Genomic DNA, 18,348 nt, shown 5'->3' with positions numbered 1-18,348 from the left:
TCTGGACCTTGTGATCTGCCCGCTTTGGCCTCCCAAAGTGCTGGGATTACAGGCATGAGCTACTGCGCCTGGCCCTTCTAATAGGAACAAAGTGATTCAAGTATTCAGTTGGCCAAAACTTCCCTTAAAGTAATCATCCAATATTCCCAACTTAAAAAGCCTCTGTTAATGTGTTAAAAACTATGGAAGCAACTAAACAACCTAAAGATGCCCCTAACAGCTGATTCCAGATGATGGTAATTCTCTTACCCGACGAATGTTGCTGATTGGGATATCTGTGAAGACACCTGTAGGAACTGGTGCCATTCCAGGACCTGTGGGAGGCACAACAGCTGCCGGAGCCTATGGGAGGAAAGAAAAAGCTCTTAGTAACTGTGATTCAATCTTAGCGTAAGTACCTGGGAAAGACTGCCAGTGACTATGCAGTTTTTTTTTTTTGTCTTTTGAGACAGAGTCTTGCTCTGTCACCCAGGCTAGAATGCAGTGGCTCAATCATGGTTCACTGCAGCCTCAACCTCCTGGGCTCAAGCAATCCTCCCATCTCAGCCCCTAGAGTAGCTGGGACTACAGGTGCACGCCAACATGCCCAGCTAATTTTTTTGGATTTCTAGTAGAGACGGAAATTAGCCACGTTGCCCTGGCTGGTCTCAAATGCCTGGGCTCAAGTGATCCACCCACCTTGGCTTCCCAAAGTGCTGGGGTTACAAGCATGAGCCACCATGTCCAGTCTAAAAACTAAGCTTTATAGAATACCTATTTCTGTCCCCAGTGAGCAAAAGAGACTTCTGCTTGTTTTAAGAGTTTTAATTTTTTTACTTAGAATTCTGAAGTCATGTTTTAAGTGTCATTTTTCTTTGTATCAGAGTATGTTCAATGACCAGTTTGTGTCAAAATAATTTTGTTTTTGCAAAATTATGTTCAAGAAAAGCAATGGAAGCATTCTTAAGTTGCAAGGAATAATAAATAAGTATAAACAAGCTAATCCATTATCCTAAACAATGTTAAGAAAAGGGGGTTGGGAGGCTCACTTGAGCCTCACAATGACTCACTTGAGGCCAGGAGTTCGTGACCAGGCTGGCCAACATGGCGAAACCCTGTCTCTACTAAACATACGAAAATTAGCCAGGTGTGATGGCATGCACCTGTAGTCCCAGCCACCTGGGAGGCTGGGGCATGAGAATCGCCTGAATCCAGGAGGCAGAGGTTGCAATGAGCCAAGATCGCGCCACTGCACTCCAGCCTGGGCGACAGAGTGAGACTGTCTCAAAAACAAACAAACAAAAAAAACCAAACACCAAAAACAACTCATTCAACTGTACTTTAAAATATTTTGAAAAAGAAAAAAAGAACAAATCTTTTATTTCAAAGCAAAAACCGATTAACTAGCTCAAAACATAATGTGGAATACATGTCAATGTAGTATATCATCTTTGATCTTGTATATAAATGATAGCACACAAATATCTAAATACACTTGGCCCTCCATATCCATAAGTTCTGCATCACTGGATTCAACCAAAGGCAAATCAAAAATATTCCAGAAAAAAACAGATGGTTGCATCTGAACTGCACAAGTACAGACTTTTTGTCCTTATTATTATTTCCTAAGCAATAAAATATAACAACTATTTACATAGTATTTACCTTGTATTTAATATTATAAGTAATCTAGAGATGATTTAAAGTATTTGAGAGGATGTGGGTAAGTTATATACAAATACTACACTATTTTATATAAGAGACTTAAGCATTTGCGAATTTTGGTATACAAGGGGGCTCCTGGAACCAACCTCTCATGGGTACCGAGGGATGACTGTATTATTAAACCACTGAAATTAGAAGAAAACAATCTTGGTTGAGCTATTTCGTTCATAAATAATGTATGAAATGGTCTAACAGGCTGTAGAGACAAACTGCAAAAAAAGTAAGAGCTACACATAACTCACAGGAGCAACTTTACTAGGCACAAAAGAGTCGATATCCTTCTTGGTGATTCTACCATCTGGTCCTGTCCCTGTAAGAGACATAAATATCACATACATGATGACATACCATTGGTTCCCCAAGGAGATCAACGCTGTGATCCTAAACTGCAAGCTCCTAAGGGTTTACTACCAAAAACATTCTGAAAGGTTCACAGCCTTAACCCTACCCCTTAAGGTGCTACCTACAAATACCAGCTTTTGTCAACTATTAATTTTAATCCACACAGAGTACCAGTGTGTGATCTGGAGTGGGTCTTTTCTTTTTAACTACTGCAAATATTCCTTTATGTATTTCTCTTTTAGAGTTTTATCCAAGTTGTACTTAATTTTTTTCATCTTCCTTACTTTTAAATTGGGAAATGTGGCATAAGGATAATGCCGAGCACAGTTTATATCTCCAAAAGGGAAACTAGCTGCCTCCTCCTGGTTAGCTCCAAAAAACCATTCCTAAGCCGTGAAATAGATTTCATTTGGGTTCTGGATTTATGTGACCATAAAGAATTCCTTTTATACAGAATTTACAGGTATAACAATAATTGTTTTGACAAATCAAGTCGATTTTTTCACCCCAAAATAGCACGAATAACTCTTTACTGCAATTATCTTATCTTTAGAATCATTCATTCCTTATGTGGTCTCTATGACTCATAGCTTTTTCACAGTAGCCAAGGCTCTAAACTGGCCCGTGTTAAAGGAAATGAAGGAAAAAGGTGCAATGTCACACATGAGGAAGGATCTTCAAAGTTCTCTCAGTAGGTTTAATTTTACTTATATTCAATTTCCTCCCTCCTCCCACCTACAGCCTCTTAGGTTTAATTTTGGACCCAAGTAGATAATCTTGACCTTTAATTCTACGGAGATTCAGAATTTAGTTATTATTATAGAATACCTTTTACACTGGCCCACTTCTAGGAAAAATTTGGTCAAACTGATTCATCTTCCCCCAAGGCAGACTTTAAAAAGGACTCTTGTTGTGTGTAGTTCTTCCCAATTCCTTTCCTTCATTACGAAAACTGAGTTGGCTAGGATTGTATTTATCCTCACTAGGAGCTCTAGAACAGAGGTGGTAGTACCCCTATTAGATTTCTCTCCTTTGTAAAAGACAGAAACCATAACCTCCCCTTACAACCAAGGCTGATCTAGACACCACAGTCCCTCAAGAGGAGGAAATCCATAGTACCACCTGCCTTATGCTAAGCTTCAGCCACCCACAAGAATTTCCTGACTTAGGAGTTAGTTGAAACCTTGTAAACCCTTTTCCCTATCTCTCTTGGGCGGCACAACAGGCCATCATAAAGCAATATGGTATAAAGGGAACAACACTGGACTATGGGTAACAAAAAGTAGGGATCTTGTCAAACATAAACTATATAAACGTTTCATCCATTTCCATGGAGCAACCAAAATGATCTTTTCAAAACATAATCATTTTATTTCACTTCTTTGCTTAAATTTCTCAATGGCTTCCTCAAGTACTTTAAATAAAATTCAAACTCTTTACCATAATCTATAAGGTCATTTATGTTCTCATCCCTGTTTTTTTCCAATCTCATCTCCTACTAGACCCTTTGCTCATTATGCTTCATTAACACTGGCCTTTTTTTTTTTTCTTTGAGACGGAGTCTTGCTCTGTCGCCCAGGCTGGAGTGCAGTGGCACTATCTCGGCTCACTGCAAGTTTGGCCTCCCAGGTTCACGCCATTCTCCTGCCTCAGCCTCCCGAGTAGCTGGGACCACAGGCGCCTGCCACCATGCCCAGCTAATTTTTTTGTATTTTTAGTAGAGACGAGGTTTCACCGTGTTAGCCAGGATGGTCTCCATCTCCTGACCTGTGATCCACCTGCCTCGGCCTCCCAAAGTGCTGGGATTACAGGCGTGAGCCATTGCGCCTGGCCAACACTGGCCTCTTTTATGTTCCTCAGACATGCTAAACTCTTTCCCATTTCAGACTGTGTACAGCTAGTCTCTCTATCCAAAATGATCTTTCCCCAGTTCTTCACATGGTTGGCTCAAGCTGCCTCCTTCTTATCTTTCAAAACAAATCAAATGTCACCTCATCAAAAAGATCTCCCAACCAACCTGTCTAAAAGTAGTCATGACTGCACATATATCCATTCACCCTTTCACTCACTAGTATATCACTGAGTTTCTTTCTTTCTTAGCACTCAAATCATCTTATTTAATAACAAAAATATTATTATCATTATAGCTAATACCTAGATATGCTTTCTCTGTACAGGCACTGGTTAACTTATTTAAACCTCACAACCATTAAACCTAATGTTTTTATATACAAAGAAATTGTGACACAAAAGGTCACACAGCTAGTATAAAGAGCTGAGGTTCATACCCAAGCATTCCAGCTACAGAGCTCACACTCTTAACTACTATGCTATACTCCCTTTCTGTTCATTTAATTCTTTATTGTTGGTCATATAAGCAACTGAAACTGAAATCTTATCCATCTGATGAACAAGTGTCTGATGTGTAGATAGCAGTCGATGATATTTATCACCTAACTCTGCCTGCATAGTAAGAACAGTGGGATTTTCTTTCTTTCTTTTTTTTTTTTAACACTCCTCTCAGCTCATACCTAAGGGATTTTCCACTTATATCTTTAGTAAGGTAACGAGTATTGCTGAATATCTAATAAATGGTCCTTCTTTGCTTGTCTAAATTCTTTAGATATAATTATTAACCCAGTCCTTTCTCCCTTTAAAAGTTACTCCAACTTACACTGCTGTCCCTGATTCTAATCATATATACATATATGATAGCAATATACTACTGAAATGGCATTAAGATGGAAAAAAAAGAATCTTCCAATATTACAAGAATCTCTGAGGTCCAAAAAATTTACAACATTCTACTCTTGTGTCTTGGGATTGGCTTGACTTCTAACTACAAGATAGCAAATTGCAGATACGGGATAACCACCATTGAGTACCCATAACTAGAAAATTGGGGAAATAAGCATATTTTTCTTTAGTAATTATGGATGGCAGAGCATCAAAACAGAAGGCAGGATAGGGTAGTGTGAAGAAACAGGCTTTAGAGTTAAACAAATCTAGAGTTACACTGCAACTTTACTATTTAACAGGAAGGAAGAACCCTGAAGAGTCTGAGAGTCTGTTTTCTTATCCAGAAAATAAGGAATGATAATTCTTACTTCAAGAAGTGTTGTGTACATTAAGTATGGTAAGTTAAATGACTGACACATAGTACAAGCCATCAAACCAAGTTCCAAGCATAATAACTTCCCCCCATTCCAAATAAGTACCTTAGTTATCCTACACTAAATTTTAGCTTAAGTTTAATTCAAAAAAACTTATTTAAGCACCAGGCAGTAATATCAATATGAATGACAACTAACATGTATTGAGTACTTATATGCTAGATACAGTTCTAAGCACTTCACCTGTTATAGCTCATTTAACTCTCACAATCTATACGATGTACAGTACCTCAGTTTTACAGATAGAAAAGTAATTGACATAAGGACATACAATCTAAGTAATTCACTGGAAAACATATTACATAGAAAATTATAAAGCCAGGATTAAATGCTAGGTGGTCTGATTCCAGGCCCCATGCTCTTATCACAAAGCTATATTTTTTCTTTGGCGGCAGACAGACAAGTAAGGCGTTTTCCCTTGCCTTCAGGGAGCTCTAGTTCTGTTTTATATGAATTTTATTAAGTCATTCCAAATCACCCCAACTTCAAATTTTATTTTGCTTTGCTTATTGCTACAGTCAACCAAGCACTAACAGAGGTTTCTTATTACATAATCAAGTCCCATAACCAAATTTTACATATACTTTCACCAAACAAGCAGTTTCCATGAATAGAAGAGGAAAAAAAAAGGTATCTAAAGTGTATGGGTAGATTCTAGGCAGAGTAAATAAAGCTCAGTAAAAGTTTCCCTACTCTGTGGTGGCAACAAAAGAACTATTTCTCCCTTCTGAAGGAATTATTAATGATTGTCCCTACTATCCCAATTATAAGTACGGCTATACATAGTTGTACTTGCAAGTCTTAAGGAGGAAATTCAACTAAATTTTAACTTTATAAAGTCCATTCTATAGAAACAGATTTACCTTTTACTTGTGTAAGATCAATCCCTTTCTCTACTGCCAACTTCTTTGCAAGAGGGCTAACAAACACCCTTCCCTTTGGTCCAGCAGGAGTAGCTGGGCAGGGTGCTGAAGGTGTAGGAGCTAAAGGCTGGGGAGTTGGAGGAACAGCGGCCACCTTTTGAAAAAAAATTACAAATTGTTTTAATTCACCACTTCAAAGACTGGTCTGAAAGATTAAAAGTTTACATCTTATTAATAAATTAAAACTATTTTAATTAAATATTAATAACTTTCATTTTTCCAAAGATCATAATGTACTTTTCGCCAGCTTAACCAACATAATGTAGTAATACGAACAGCGAGAACAATATACTTCTATATCAAAGACAGAACAGTTACCTTATTCCATAACAACATGAAGCACAGAATTGAATATTGCCAATCAGTGTATAGTATTCTACAGCCTTTCTTCACTTTAATCTCTTACCACTTCTTTATTCGCATTCTTTTACATCACCAACATGATTTTTATTTTTAATTATCCTAACTTCTTTTTTTTTTTTCTTTTTATTTGAGACAGAGTCTTGCTCTGTCACCCAGGCTGGAGTGCAGTGGCGCAAACTTGGCTCACTGCAACCTCCGCCTCCTGGGTTCAAGCAATTCTCCTGCCTCAGCCTCCCAAGTAGCTGGGATTAAAGGCACGCACCACCACGCCCAGCTAATTTTTTGTATTTTCAGTAGAGATGGGGTTTCACCATGTTGGCCAGGCTGGTCTTGAACTCCTGACCTCAAGCGATCCACCTGCCTCAGCCTCCCAAAGTGCTGGGATTACTGGCATGAGCCACCACACCCAGCCAGCTAATTTCAAAATATAAAATTATGCTGTAAGGCCCCATGTTGAAAAGTATCTTAAGAAATACGGCCAGGTGTGGTGGCTCACACCTGTAATCCCAGCACTTTGGGAGGCCGAGGTGGGTGGATCACCTGAGGTCAGGAGTTCGTGACCAGCCTGGCCAACACGGTGAAACCCCTTCTCTACTAAAAATAAAAAAATTAGCCGGGCATGGTGGCTAACACCTGTAATCCCAGCTACTCGGGAGGTCGAGGCAGGAGAATTGCTTGAACCCGGGAGGCATAGGCTGCAGTGAGCCAAGATCACGCCACTGCACGCCAGCCTGGGTGACGGAGCAAGACTCCGTCTCAACAACAACAACAAAAGAAATCCAACAACAATGCTACTTGCCAGCTTCCCACAAATGTACAGTAGTCAGAAATCAACTTTTCTCTTATAGAAATGTTTACCTAGTTTAAACTCACATGATTCTAGCATCTGTGAGAATCACTGAAGCTTCACTGTCAGTGTTATCTCTGGTTGGAGTTATACAAGTTCAGGTTATAGTTATATAGTGTATCAAGTATTTGGTGATATAATAAATTCTAGGCAAAACAAGTCATGTCAAGGTTCCACTGTATCACAAATATATGCTTGACCTACTAAGTCAATAACAAGAGGATTTCAAGTGACAGAGATTATTCAGTATATTTAATAATAAATGGGCAATGAAGTGAGCTATGATTGCACCACTGCACTCCAGCCTCAGCAACAGGGTGAGACCTTGTCTCTTAAAAAAAAAAAAAAAGGGTGGGGCAATGAAGCCTTACTTTCCACAAGCATGGTATCTGTATCTAAAGCAGAAAGAGAACATGTCACTCAGCTTTGTTCTCAGCAGGACTCTAGATAGCAGGAAGAAAAAAGCTACAAGGCCCAAACTATCAACCATTAGGTGAACAGTGCAGTACAACAAACACTATAGGTCTCCACAAATGTTAATAAACTATCTCCCTCCTCAGTCATAGAATCTTGGAGGTGGAAGGAACCTAGGATATCATCTAATCAAAACTCCTTAATTTAGAGATGAACAAGGTAAGTGTTTCCTGAATTCTAGAAGCATACCTACCGGGGGTGGGGTAGGTGGTGGCACTTGTGGTTTTAAATCTGTTACTTCGGTTGGCCTATAGTCAGCAAATGCTGATATATCTGCCTCTTTTTCTACAATGATACAGAGTGGGGTTCCTAGAGGGACATCTCTTGTGCCTTCAGGGACCAGGATTTTTGCCAGATAACCTTCTTCCTGTACTTCAAAACCTTAAATAGAAAGAAAAAACATTATGGGACTTAAGAGATTCCACTATCCCTCCAAACTCACAGCACAGTTTTAAGTAAAGTGATTTTTCTCATTCAAGCTAGCTATATAGCCTTTTTTGCAACCTATTTAACCTTCTGTGTCTTGGTTTCTTTACCTACAATACGGGGATAATAATAGTACCAATCTCACTGGATTGGTACTGGGATGTTATACATTTAAACAGATTAATATTTTTCAAGTTCTTAGAAATAATACAACCTGGTACAAAGTAAATGCCAAATAAAAATCTGTTCAATAAAACTATGAAAGATTACAGACAGTGGTTAGTTCTCAAAGTTATTAAAAAATCTCCAAGGACAGTCCCCATGCAGACTCACAGGACTCTAAGATGGTGTCAGCTATGCTGCTAAAGATAAGAACCACATACATGCCTAATTAAGGGAGCTACCAACCTAGATACTAATGTTGGATTTCAGCCCTAAAAGCATCTTTGGAACTTTTCAAAGAGGTTATACTTGATATTATACCAAGTATTTCAATGTAAAGAATTACAGCTTTACTGGGATTTCTATGGTGTTGACAACTTATATTTTATTCAACTACTGCCTTCCTTGCAAAGAACTTAAACATTTAGGATTGCAAAAGTAAAACTAAAAGAAGCCATTGGCTTTCTGTACTGTTGTGCCTCTCCTTGATGAACACATCTTTGATGAATCCTTCCATTTCCCAGCTGAGAATACCCAATAAAAAATATGTTTAGGCTGGGCGCGGCGGCTCATGCCTGTAATCCCAGCACTTTGGGAGACCGAGGCGGGTGGATCACCTGAGGTCGGGAGTTCGAGACCAGCCTGACCAACGTGGAGAAACCCCGTCTCTACTAAAAATACAAAATTAGCCAGGCATGGTGGCGCATGCCTGTAATCCCAGCTACTCGGGAGGCTGAGGCAAGAAAATCACTTGAACCCAGGAGGTGGAGGTTGTGGTGAGCCGAGATCGTGCCATTGCACTCCAGCCTGGGCAACAAGAGCGAAACTCCGTCTCAAAAAAAAAAAAAAAAAAAAAAAAAAAAACACACACACACACACACACACACACACACACACATATATACACACACATATATATATATACACACACATATATATATGTTTAAGTCTGGAGATATATATATATATGTTTAAGGCTGGGCACGGTGGCTCACGCCTGTTATCCCAGCACTTTGGGAGGCCAAGGTAGGTGGATTACCTGAGGTCAGGAGTTCAAGACCAGCCTGGCCAACATGGTGAAACCCCATCTCCACTAAAAATACAAAAATTAGCCAGGCATGGTGGCAGGCGCCTGTAATCCCAGCTACTTGGGCAGCTGAGGCAGGAGAATTGCTTGAACCCGGGAGGTGGAAATTGCAGTGAGCCAAGATCATGCCATTGCACTCCAGCCTGGGCGACAAAGCAAGACTCTATCTCAAAAAAAAAAAAAAAAAAGGCTGGGTGCGGTGGTGGCTCACGCCTGTAATCCCAGCACTTTGGGAGGCACAAGGCAGTCAGATCACGAGGTCAGGAGTTCAAGACCAGCCTGGCCCACATAGTGAAACCACATTTCTACTAAAAATACAAAAATTAGCCGGGCGTAGTGGCATGCACCTGTAGTCCCAGCTACTCAGGAGGCTCAGGCAGGAGAATCGCTTGAACCCAGGAGGCAGAGGTTGTGGTGGGCCGAGATCACGCCACCGCACTCCAGCCTGGACAACAGAGCCAGACTCTGTTTCCAAAAAAAAAAAAAAGAAGTGTTTAAAATGAAAAGGCTCCTGGGCCACAATAGACTTCAAAGTTCAACCAAGGTAACACTTCTCTAGTGACTAGTCTCTATAGTGACACTGGTATTCAAGTTAAATGGTGAAGCAGAACTACTGTTTCCAAAGTTTCTGTGTTTTTAAGAAACAGAATCCTTTCTTCAAATAAAATTTATGGGGAAGCACAAAATACAAAAAGATAGAAAAGAACTGCTCTGCTGGAAGTAAGGCAGGGAGGCAGGGCTGTAAGGTCCTGCTCTTTAATTCCCCCTTTGCCTCAAGGTGCCTTAAAGGAATGATGGGATTTGAAGAACACAATCTGAAAACAACCAAGGCAGAGGATGCCCAGTACCTCCCATTACATCTTTGGGAAAGGCTTCCCTTTGGTGGTGATTATGAAGCAGAGAGGCTGGGTGCGGTGGCTTATGCCTGTAATCCCAGCACTTTGGGAGGCCGAGGCAGGCAGATCACCTGAGGTTAAAGAGCTCGAGACCAGCCTGGCCAACATGGTGAAACTCCATCTCTACTAAAAATGCAAAAAATTAGCCAGGCATGGTGGTGCATGCCTGTAGTCCCAGCTACTCGGGAGGCTGAGGCAGGAGAATTGCTTGAACCCAGGAGGCGGAGGCTGCAGTAAGCCAAGATCGCACCACTGTACTCAAGCCTGGGTGACAGAGCAAAACTCTGTCTCAAAAAAAAAAAAGAAAAAGCGGGGGTGCAGAGAGAAGAAATTCATAATACTACAAATCGCCATGGCTCACGCCTGTAATCCCAGCGCTTTGGGAGGCCAAGACAGGTGGATCACGAGGTCAGGAGATCAAGGCCATCCTGGCTAACACAGTGAAACCCCATCTCTACTAAAAATACAAAAAATTAGCCAGGCGTGGCAGCGGGCACCTGTAGTCCCAGCTACTCGGGAGGCTGAGGCAGGAGAATGGCGTGAACCCAGGAGGTGGAGCTTGCAGTGAGCTGAGACTGCGCCACTGCACTCCAGCCTGGGCAACACAGCGAGACTCCGTCTCAAAAAAAAAAAAAATAATAATAATAAATATATTATTGTCTATATGGGTTTTTTTAGCCTAAAAATGAATTAAGAAGGAGATATGTGGACATATGACATATCTGAACATATATATATTACACACATACATTCTATCAGTCATTCTCAAACTATGAAAACAATCTCAACCCTGGTTTCAGTTTTCCCTCAAAGTCATCTTAAATTCTTTGCTATTATCCTGCCATGGAAGTGATTTTCTCCTGTTTCTTCTTGACTTCCTTTGCCTAGTTTAGACAGCAGCAATTCTGATATAGCTTCTCAGTAACATAATAAGGCCAAGAAGCAAACTTGGGCCTAAAAATAATCTGTGAATTGACAGATTGATTGCCTTTGATTCAGTGAGCACAGGATGGAACTGACAAATCTGACTACGCATTATTTTTGTTATAAATTATGCTGGGCCAGGAACAGGGGCTCACGCTTGGAGTCCCAGCACTTTGAGAGGCCAAGGCAGGAGGATCGCTTGAGCCAGGAGTTCAAAACCAGCCTGGGCAATAAAGTGAGACCCCATCTCTACAAAAAATTTAAAAAATCAGCTAGGTGTGGTGGTTCAGGCCTGTAGTCCTACCTACTTGTGAGGCTAAAGCAGGAGGATCATTTGGGCATAAGCCCAGGAGTTCAAGGCTACAATGAGCTATGATCTTGCCACCGCACTCCAGCCTGGGCAACAGATTAAGACCCTGTCTGAAAAATAAGCAAATAAACAAATAAATAAATAAAAACTAAAGAATACATATAACTAAATAAAAATAAAATATTCTGTCCCAGAAAATGAATCCTAAGAATTATAAAGTTTTCATATTATCACTCACTCATTATAGGAAAGAATGGCAATCCTCTTCCTCATTGGGAAACTCAGTGCCTCAACCATTAAGAGCTGAAGAAATCTCACCTATAGTGGCTTTGTCAGTTTCTATCTCTGCCAGTAAGTCTCCTTCACTTAGCTTCTCACCCACTTTTTTTTCCCATCTCTGAACTGTGCCCATGGTCATGGTGGGAGAGAGGGCAGGAAGAAGTACCTGCAGAAACAAACACATATTATTGCTTAATACCAGGAAGACTTCTACATAATAAAAGTCTGGCAGACTTATGTGGTTTCATAGAATGATGGTGACTATGATAATCCAAATACTCACCACAGCAAAAGCTTCACACCTCAATAGCTTCCCACCAGGTAAATCATCCTTCAAATCTCATACTCTGACCCATACTCTTATACTCTCGCCCACACTCTAACACACACTCCAAGTTAAATGCAACAAGCACATGGGAAAGATTTCTTTCAGACAGTCAAAATTAATTTCTCAACATCTAAGTATGGAGCATCTTTTCATCTATTTTTATTTTTATTTTTATTTTGAGACAGAGTCTTGCTCTGTCCCCCAGGCTGGAGAGCAATGGCGCAATCTCGGCTCACTGCAACCTCCACCTCCTGGTTTCAAGTGATTCTCCTGCCTCAGCCTCCCGAGTAGCTGGATTACAGGCGGGTGCCATCATGCCCACTAATTTTTGTATTTTTGTAGAGATGGGGTTTTACCATGTTGGCCAGGCTGGTCTCTGAACGCCCATCCACAAGTAATCCGCCCGCCCTGGCCTCCCAAAGTGCTGGGATTACAGGCGTGAGCCACCGCGCCCAGACTTCATTTTTTTTTAACCAAGAAGTTTTTCATTTTCACAAAATGACCTTGGTCCAAACCATTCTGTTAAAATTTTACTGCGCTCTGTACTTAGCATCTACCTATTTTTTACCCACAGGAAACTGCATTTGTCCCAACCTTACCAGATATCTTTCCAAGATAAAAACGTAATATTAAGAACTGTTCTGTGCTCGCTTCAGCAACACATATACTAAAATTGGAACGATATAGAGATTAGCATGGCCCCTGCGCAAGGACAACAAATTCGTGAAGCATTCCATATTAAAAAAAAAAACATTATTTGGTGACAATAGTTAATAACAATGTATTGTATTCTTGTAAATTCCTGACAGTAGATTTTTAAGTGGCCTAAAAGATAAGTCTATAAAGTAATGCATATATAAATTAGCTCAATCTAGCCATTCCACAATATATACATATTTCAAAACAACTTGTTGTATATAATATATGTACACAGAATTCTTACACAGAATTTTATTTGATAATTTTTTTTTTTTTTGAGATGGAGTCTTACTCTGTTGCCCAGCCTGGAGTGCAGTGGCATGATGATCATTCAAAAAAATAAAACAGGAGGCCAGGCACAGCTGTTCACATCTGTAATCCCAGCACTTTGGGAGGCCAAGGATCACTTGGGAGGGGCGGATCACTTGAGGCCAGGAGTTCAAGACCAGCCGGGCCATCATGTCGAAACCCCCTCCTCTGCTAAAAATACCAAAATTAGCTGGGCATGGTGACACCCACCTGTAGTCCCAGCTACTCAGGAGGCTGAGGCATGAGAATCGCAGAGGTTGCCGTGAGCCAAGATCGTGCCACTACACTCCAGCCATGGTGACAGAGCAAGACTGTCTCAAAAAAAAAAAAAAAAAAAAAAAAAAAAAACAGGAAAGACCAGCATGGTGGCTCATGCCTATAATCTCAGCATTTTGGTAGGCTGATGCAGGAGGATCACTTGAGCCCAGGAGTTCACGACCAGCCTGAGCAACATGATGTAACCTCATCTCTTAAAAAAAAAAAAAAAAAAAAATTAGCTGGGCATGGTGGCACGTGCCTGTAGTCACAGCGTCTTGGGAGGCTGAGGTGGGAGGATGGCTTGAGCCAGGAGGTCAAGGCTACAGTGAGCTAAGATTGCACCACTGCACTCCAGCCTAGGTGAAGAGTGAGACCCTATCTCAAAAAATAAAATAGCTAGGTGTGGTGGTATGTGCATGTATTCCCAGCTAGTCGGGAGGCTGAGGCAGGAGAATCGCTTGAACCCAGGAGGCAGAGGTTGCAGTGAGCCGAAATCATGCCACTGCACTCCAGCCTAGGTGATGGAGTGAGACCCTGTTTCAAAAAATAAATAAATAAAAATAAAAAACCAGGGGTAAAAAAAGCCCTGTTTTTATAATAGCCATTTCCACCCCAATAATATCCAAACATCAGAATGCCTATCTAAATGTAAAATTGCTTTACTATTTATATGGCTTGTGTATCCACTGAATTTGGTTTCATTTGCTATCCTCTTTGTCTTCTGTATCTGATTAGCAACAGGATTATGCGGAGAGGAAAATAACTTCAATTGAAGATGTTTCCAGAGAGGGGAAAGTAAGACAAGCCTTAGAAAAAAAATTGTAAGTGCTTTTTTTGTGCAGAATTTGCCATCTTCATCTGCTTCTTAAGAAACAGTGAAGCCAATAATCTCTATACAGTATCTTAAAGAATACTATCAGAGATTCAGAATCCAATTCAGTATCTTAAAGAATAATTAAGGTAAAACCCTAACACATGCACACAAAGCTACAGACACAAAGTAGAGGAAAATTAAGTCAGTCTTACATCATGAGATAGAATTTGCCGAACAGCATGTAATACATGTGTGAACTGAACACCTGGCAAAAAATCCTAAATGATTGTTACTAACAGACCATGGAGTAGAACATTATTTCCAAAGGAGAAAAAGATTCCTATACAAAAATTTCTACAAATAAACTAGATTAAGGAGAAATGCCAGTCAGAATTATTTAGAAAAGGACGGCTGGATTTTTATCCACTTTTAACATCTAAAGCACACAAATATACAGACGATAACCCTAATACCTAATAAACTGACTTAGTTTCTTAGAAACTGATTTAGTTAGCACAATCAACAGTGATTACATTCACTGCCTTCAACTTTGATGCAACACTATTACATATGTGTATCTTACACTTAACTTTTGTCAGTTTTCTCATTTATTAATACTATTGGACTACTTCACCCACTCTTGGAAAATAGATCACCACATGTCAAAAGAACACCAACTGGGGACTTTCATTCAACAGACAGCACTTGACACCTATGATACAGCTTGGATGTCTGTCCCCTCCAAATCTCATGCTGAAATATGATCCCCCGACTTCCGTTTCCGGGTCAGAGCCATGGTGGTGGCAACTTCAAGCCCTGCTAACCCCATGGTGTTCTTTGATGTCAGCAATGGCAGTCAGGAAGTTGGCCGCACAAAGATCGAGCTCTCTGCAGACGTTGTGCCTAAGACGACCGAGAACTTTGGGTAGTTCTGCACTAGAGAATTCAGAAAAGATGGGGTTCCAATAGGATACAAAGGAAGCACTTTCCACAGGGTCATAAAGGATTTCATGATTTAGGGTGGAGATTTTGTTAATGGAGATGGTACTGGAGTCGCCAGTATTTACCAGGAGACATTCGCAGACGAAAATTTTAAACTTAGACACTCAGCTCCAGGCCTGCTTTCCACGGCAAACAGCGGTCCCAGTACAAATGGCTGTCAGTTCTTTATCACCTGCTCTAAGTGTGATTGGCTGGATGGGAAGCATGTAATGTTTGGAAAAATCACTGATGGACTTCTAGTGATGAGAAAGATTCAGAATGTTCCCACAGGCCCCAACAATAAGCCCAAACTACTGTGGTGATCTCAAAGTGCGGGGAGATGTAGTCCAGACCAAGACTGAATTAGGCCTTCCCTTCTTGGTGGTGTTCTTGAGTAAGATAATCTGGACTGGCCCCTGTGTTTGCTTCCCTGCCTGCTGCTGCCCCATTTGATCAAGAGACCCTGGAAGTACTGGAGATTCAGAATCCAAGACTGTGTAAATAAAGTTTTTTTGTATGTGGAAAAAAAAAAAAAGAAATATGATCCCCAATGTTAGAGATGGGGTCTGGTGGCAGGTGTCTGGGTATTGGAGGAGGATCCCTCGTGAATGGCTTGCTGCATGCCCCATGGTAATGAGTTAAGGGGAAATCTGATTGCTATAAAGAGCCTGGTTACCCACTCCCCTCTGTCTCTTGTTCCCTCTCTCATGGGACACACCACCCTTCCCCTTTCCCTTCCAACTTCCACCATGATTGTAAGCTTCCTGTGGCCACAAGAGAAACAGATGCTGGCGCCCTGCTTCTTGTACAGCCTGCAGAACCTTGAGCCAAATGAACCTTTTTTCTTTATAAATTACCCAGCCCTAGGTATTTCTTCATGCCAAAGTAAAACAGACTAACACAGCCTGCTATAAACTCTAATTATACAGGGAATAGATGTTAGTAAAAATCATCCTCAAAATCTGTAATGTAATGTTCTTGAATGAAAAGTGCCACGCATTACCCTGTGTACTACACTGAGGCTGAGAAAGGTTACAGGAACTGTTCAAGTTCTTATAACTGGAAATAACAACCAGGAAGAATAGTTGTCAATCTTCATGTTTAAACCTATATACTCCCAAATGACAAGACCTAACCACATTTAATGTCAGTTTCCAAGATGTAGTAGCCATCTATGAAAAAAAGTGAGTAAGTAAGTAATCACCTAGAGCAAAAACTCAGAGGCTGAGCCTCACCTGCATGTGAGGGGGATATGAGCTACCAGGAGCCTGAGCAGAAGGTGTAGGTGGCGAAGCAGTGGCAGCAGGGGTTGGTGCTGGGGCCGCTTGTGGGGTAGGTGCTGCTGAGGAATCCAGTGTATAATTTTTAAAGGCCTCAATATCCTCAGGCCTAAGGAAGAGAAAGAATGCATAAATATAATGGGCAGATTCAGCTTTCACAAAAGTAGTCTTAAAAAATAGTCTTTAACTCCTAATTCTCAATTCTGGGTAAAATACTCCACCAAGCAATGAAGTTCCACAAATTATGAGCGCACTACTCACTTGCCAACTGTGATACAGATGATCGCTCCGATGGGAACATCCCTGGTACCTTCAGCAACAAGTATCTTTGCCATATAACACTCCTCCAGGCTCTCAAATCCAACAGTGGCTTTATCAGTTTCAACCTTTTAACACAAAAAGCAGTAGCTCAGGTTTGTACTGTTGGTATGTAATTTATTAGCTTGTGTCTAGAATTTTTTTTTTTTTTTTTTTTTTTTTGAGACACAGAGTCTCATTCTGTCACCAAGGCTGGAGTGCAGTGGTGCAATCTCGGCTCATTGCAACCTCCCCCTCCCAGGTTCAAGCGATTATCCTGCCTCAGCCTCCCGAGTAGCTGGGATTACAGGAACAGGCTGCCATGCCCGGCTGATTTTTGTATTTTTAGCAGAGACGGGGTTTCACCATGTTGGCCAGCCTGGCCTTTGTGTCTAGAATTATACAGTTCATGTGAAGATAAGGCCACTACGACAGATTTCAAAGAAGAAATTACTTTAGAAACGCCTTGGTTAAAATCAGTTTGGCCAGCTGCTGACAACTTATCCAACCAATCTTGTCTAACATCAAGTTGTGAAAAACACTTCAGTTTCTTAAACAAAGGGGTAGCTACACATCCAGAAAGTCAATGTTCAGTCAATTAGGCAAAGCCAGTCTCTTCGAACTCATCTCCGTTACTTTAAAACAACTTACCCTCTCCCTCTCCCTCTCCGTCTCCCTCTCCCTCTCCCCACGGTCTCCCTCTCCCTCTCTTTCCACGGTCTCCCTCTGATGCTGAGCCGAAGCTGGACTGTACTGCTGCCTTCTCGGCTCACTGCAACCTCCCTGCCTGATTCTCCTGCCTCAGCCTGCTGAGTGCCTGCGATTGCAGGCACGCGCCGCCACGCCTGACTGGTTTTCGTATTTTTTTGGTGGAGACGGGGTTTCGCTGTGTTGGCCGGGCTGGTCTCCAGCTCCTAACCGCGAGTGATCCGCCAGCCTTGGCCTCCCGAGGTGCCGGGATTGCAGACGGAGTCTGGTTCACTCAGTGCTCAATGGTGCCCAGGCTGGAGTGCAGTGGCGTGATCTCGGCTCGCTACAACCTCCACCTCCCAGCCGCCTGCCTTGGCCTCCCAAAGTGCCGAGATTGCAGCCTCTGCCCGGCTGCCACCCCGTCTGGGAAGTGAGGAGCGTCTCTGCCTGGCCGCCCATCGTCTGGGACGTGAGGAGCCCCACTGCCTGGCTGCCCAGTCTGGAAAGTGAGGAGCGTCTCTGCCCGGCTGCCATCCCATCTAGGAAGTGAGGAGCGCCTCTGCCCGGCCGCCCATCGTCTGAGATGTGGGGAGCGCCTCTGCCCCGCCGCCCCGTCTGGGATGTGAGGAGCGCCTCTACCCGGCCGCGACCCCGTCCGGGAGGTGAGGAGCGTCTCTTCCCGGCCGCCCCGTCTGAGAAGTGAAGAGACCCTCCGCCTGGCAACCGCCCCGTCTGAGAAGTGAGGAGCCCCTCCGCCCGGCAGCCACCCCGTCTGAGAAGTG

At 41.9% G+C, this 18,348-nt stretch overlaps 1 protein-coding gene and 2 pseudogenes across 14 annotated transcripts in view; 2 read left to right on the top strand and 1 right to left on the bottom strand.

Annotated features, from left to right (window-relative positions):
• DLAT (dihydrolipoamide S-acetyltransferase) overlaps nucleotides 1–18,348 on the bottom strand; it is a 38,997-nt gene that overhangs the window by 18,925 nt on the left and 1,724 nt on the right. For 7 of the 14 annotated variants that reach the window (NM_001372031.1, NM_001931.5, NM_001372033.1 and 4 more), the window contains exons 3-9: nucleotides 16,841–16,965; nucleotides 16,535–16,688; nucleotides 11,950–12,076; nucleotides 8,020–8,207; nucleotides 6,083–6,236; nucleotides 1,947–2,014; nucleotides 250–342 (exon numbers count right to left, since the gene is read on the bottom strand). In NM_001372031.1, the coding sequence (NP_001358960.1) occupies nucleotides 250–342; nucleotides 1,947–2,014; nucleotides 6,083–6,236; nucleotides 8,020–8,207; nucleotides 11,950–12,076; nucleotides 16,535–16,688; nucleotides 16,841–16,965 (909 nt within the window). Of the gene's footprint in view, nucleotides 1–249; nucleotides 343–1,946; nucleotides 2,015–6,082; nucleotides 6,237–8,019; nucleotides 8,208–11,949; nucleotides 12,077–16,534; nucleotides 16,689–16,836; nucleotides 16,966–18,348 lie in introns of all 14 variants that reach the window. The other 7 variants (NM_001372039.1, NM_001372041.1, NM_001372042.1 and 4 more) reach the window with 6 other exon arrangements.
• On the top strand, nucleotides 12,882–12,981 carry RNU6-893P (RNA, U6 small nuclear 893, pseudogene; annotated as a pseudogene).
• Nucleotides 15,089–15,818, top strand: PPIHP1 (peptidylprolyl isomerase H pseudogene 1; annotated as a pseudogene).

This window comes from Homo sapiens, chromosome 11, assembly GCF_000001405.40.
Source record: "Homo sapiens chromosome 11, GRCh38.p14 Primary Assembly".
Lineage (NCBI taxonomy): Eukaryota > Metazoa > Chordata > Mammalia > Primates > Hominidae > Homo > Homo sapiens.
This window is presented reverse-complemented; position numbering and strand designations above follow the sequence as displayed.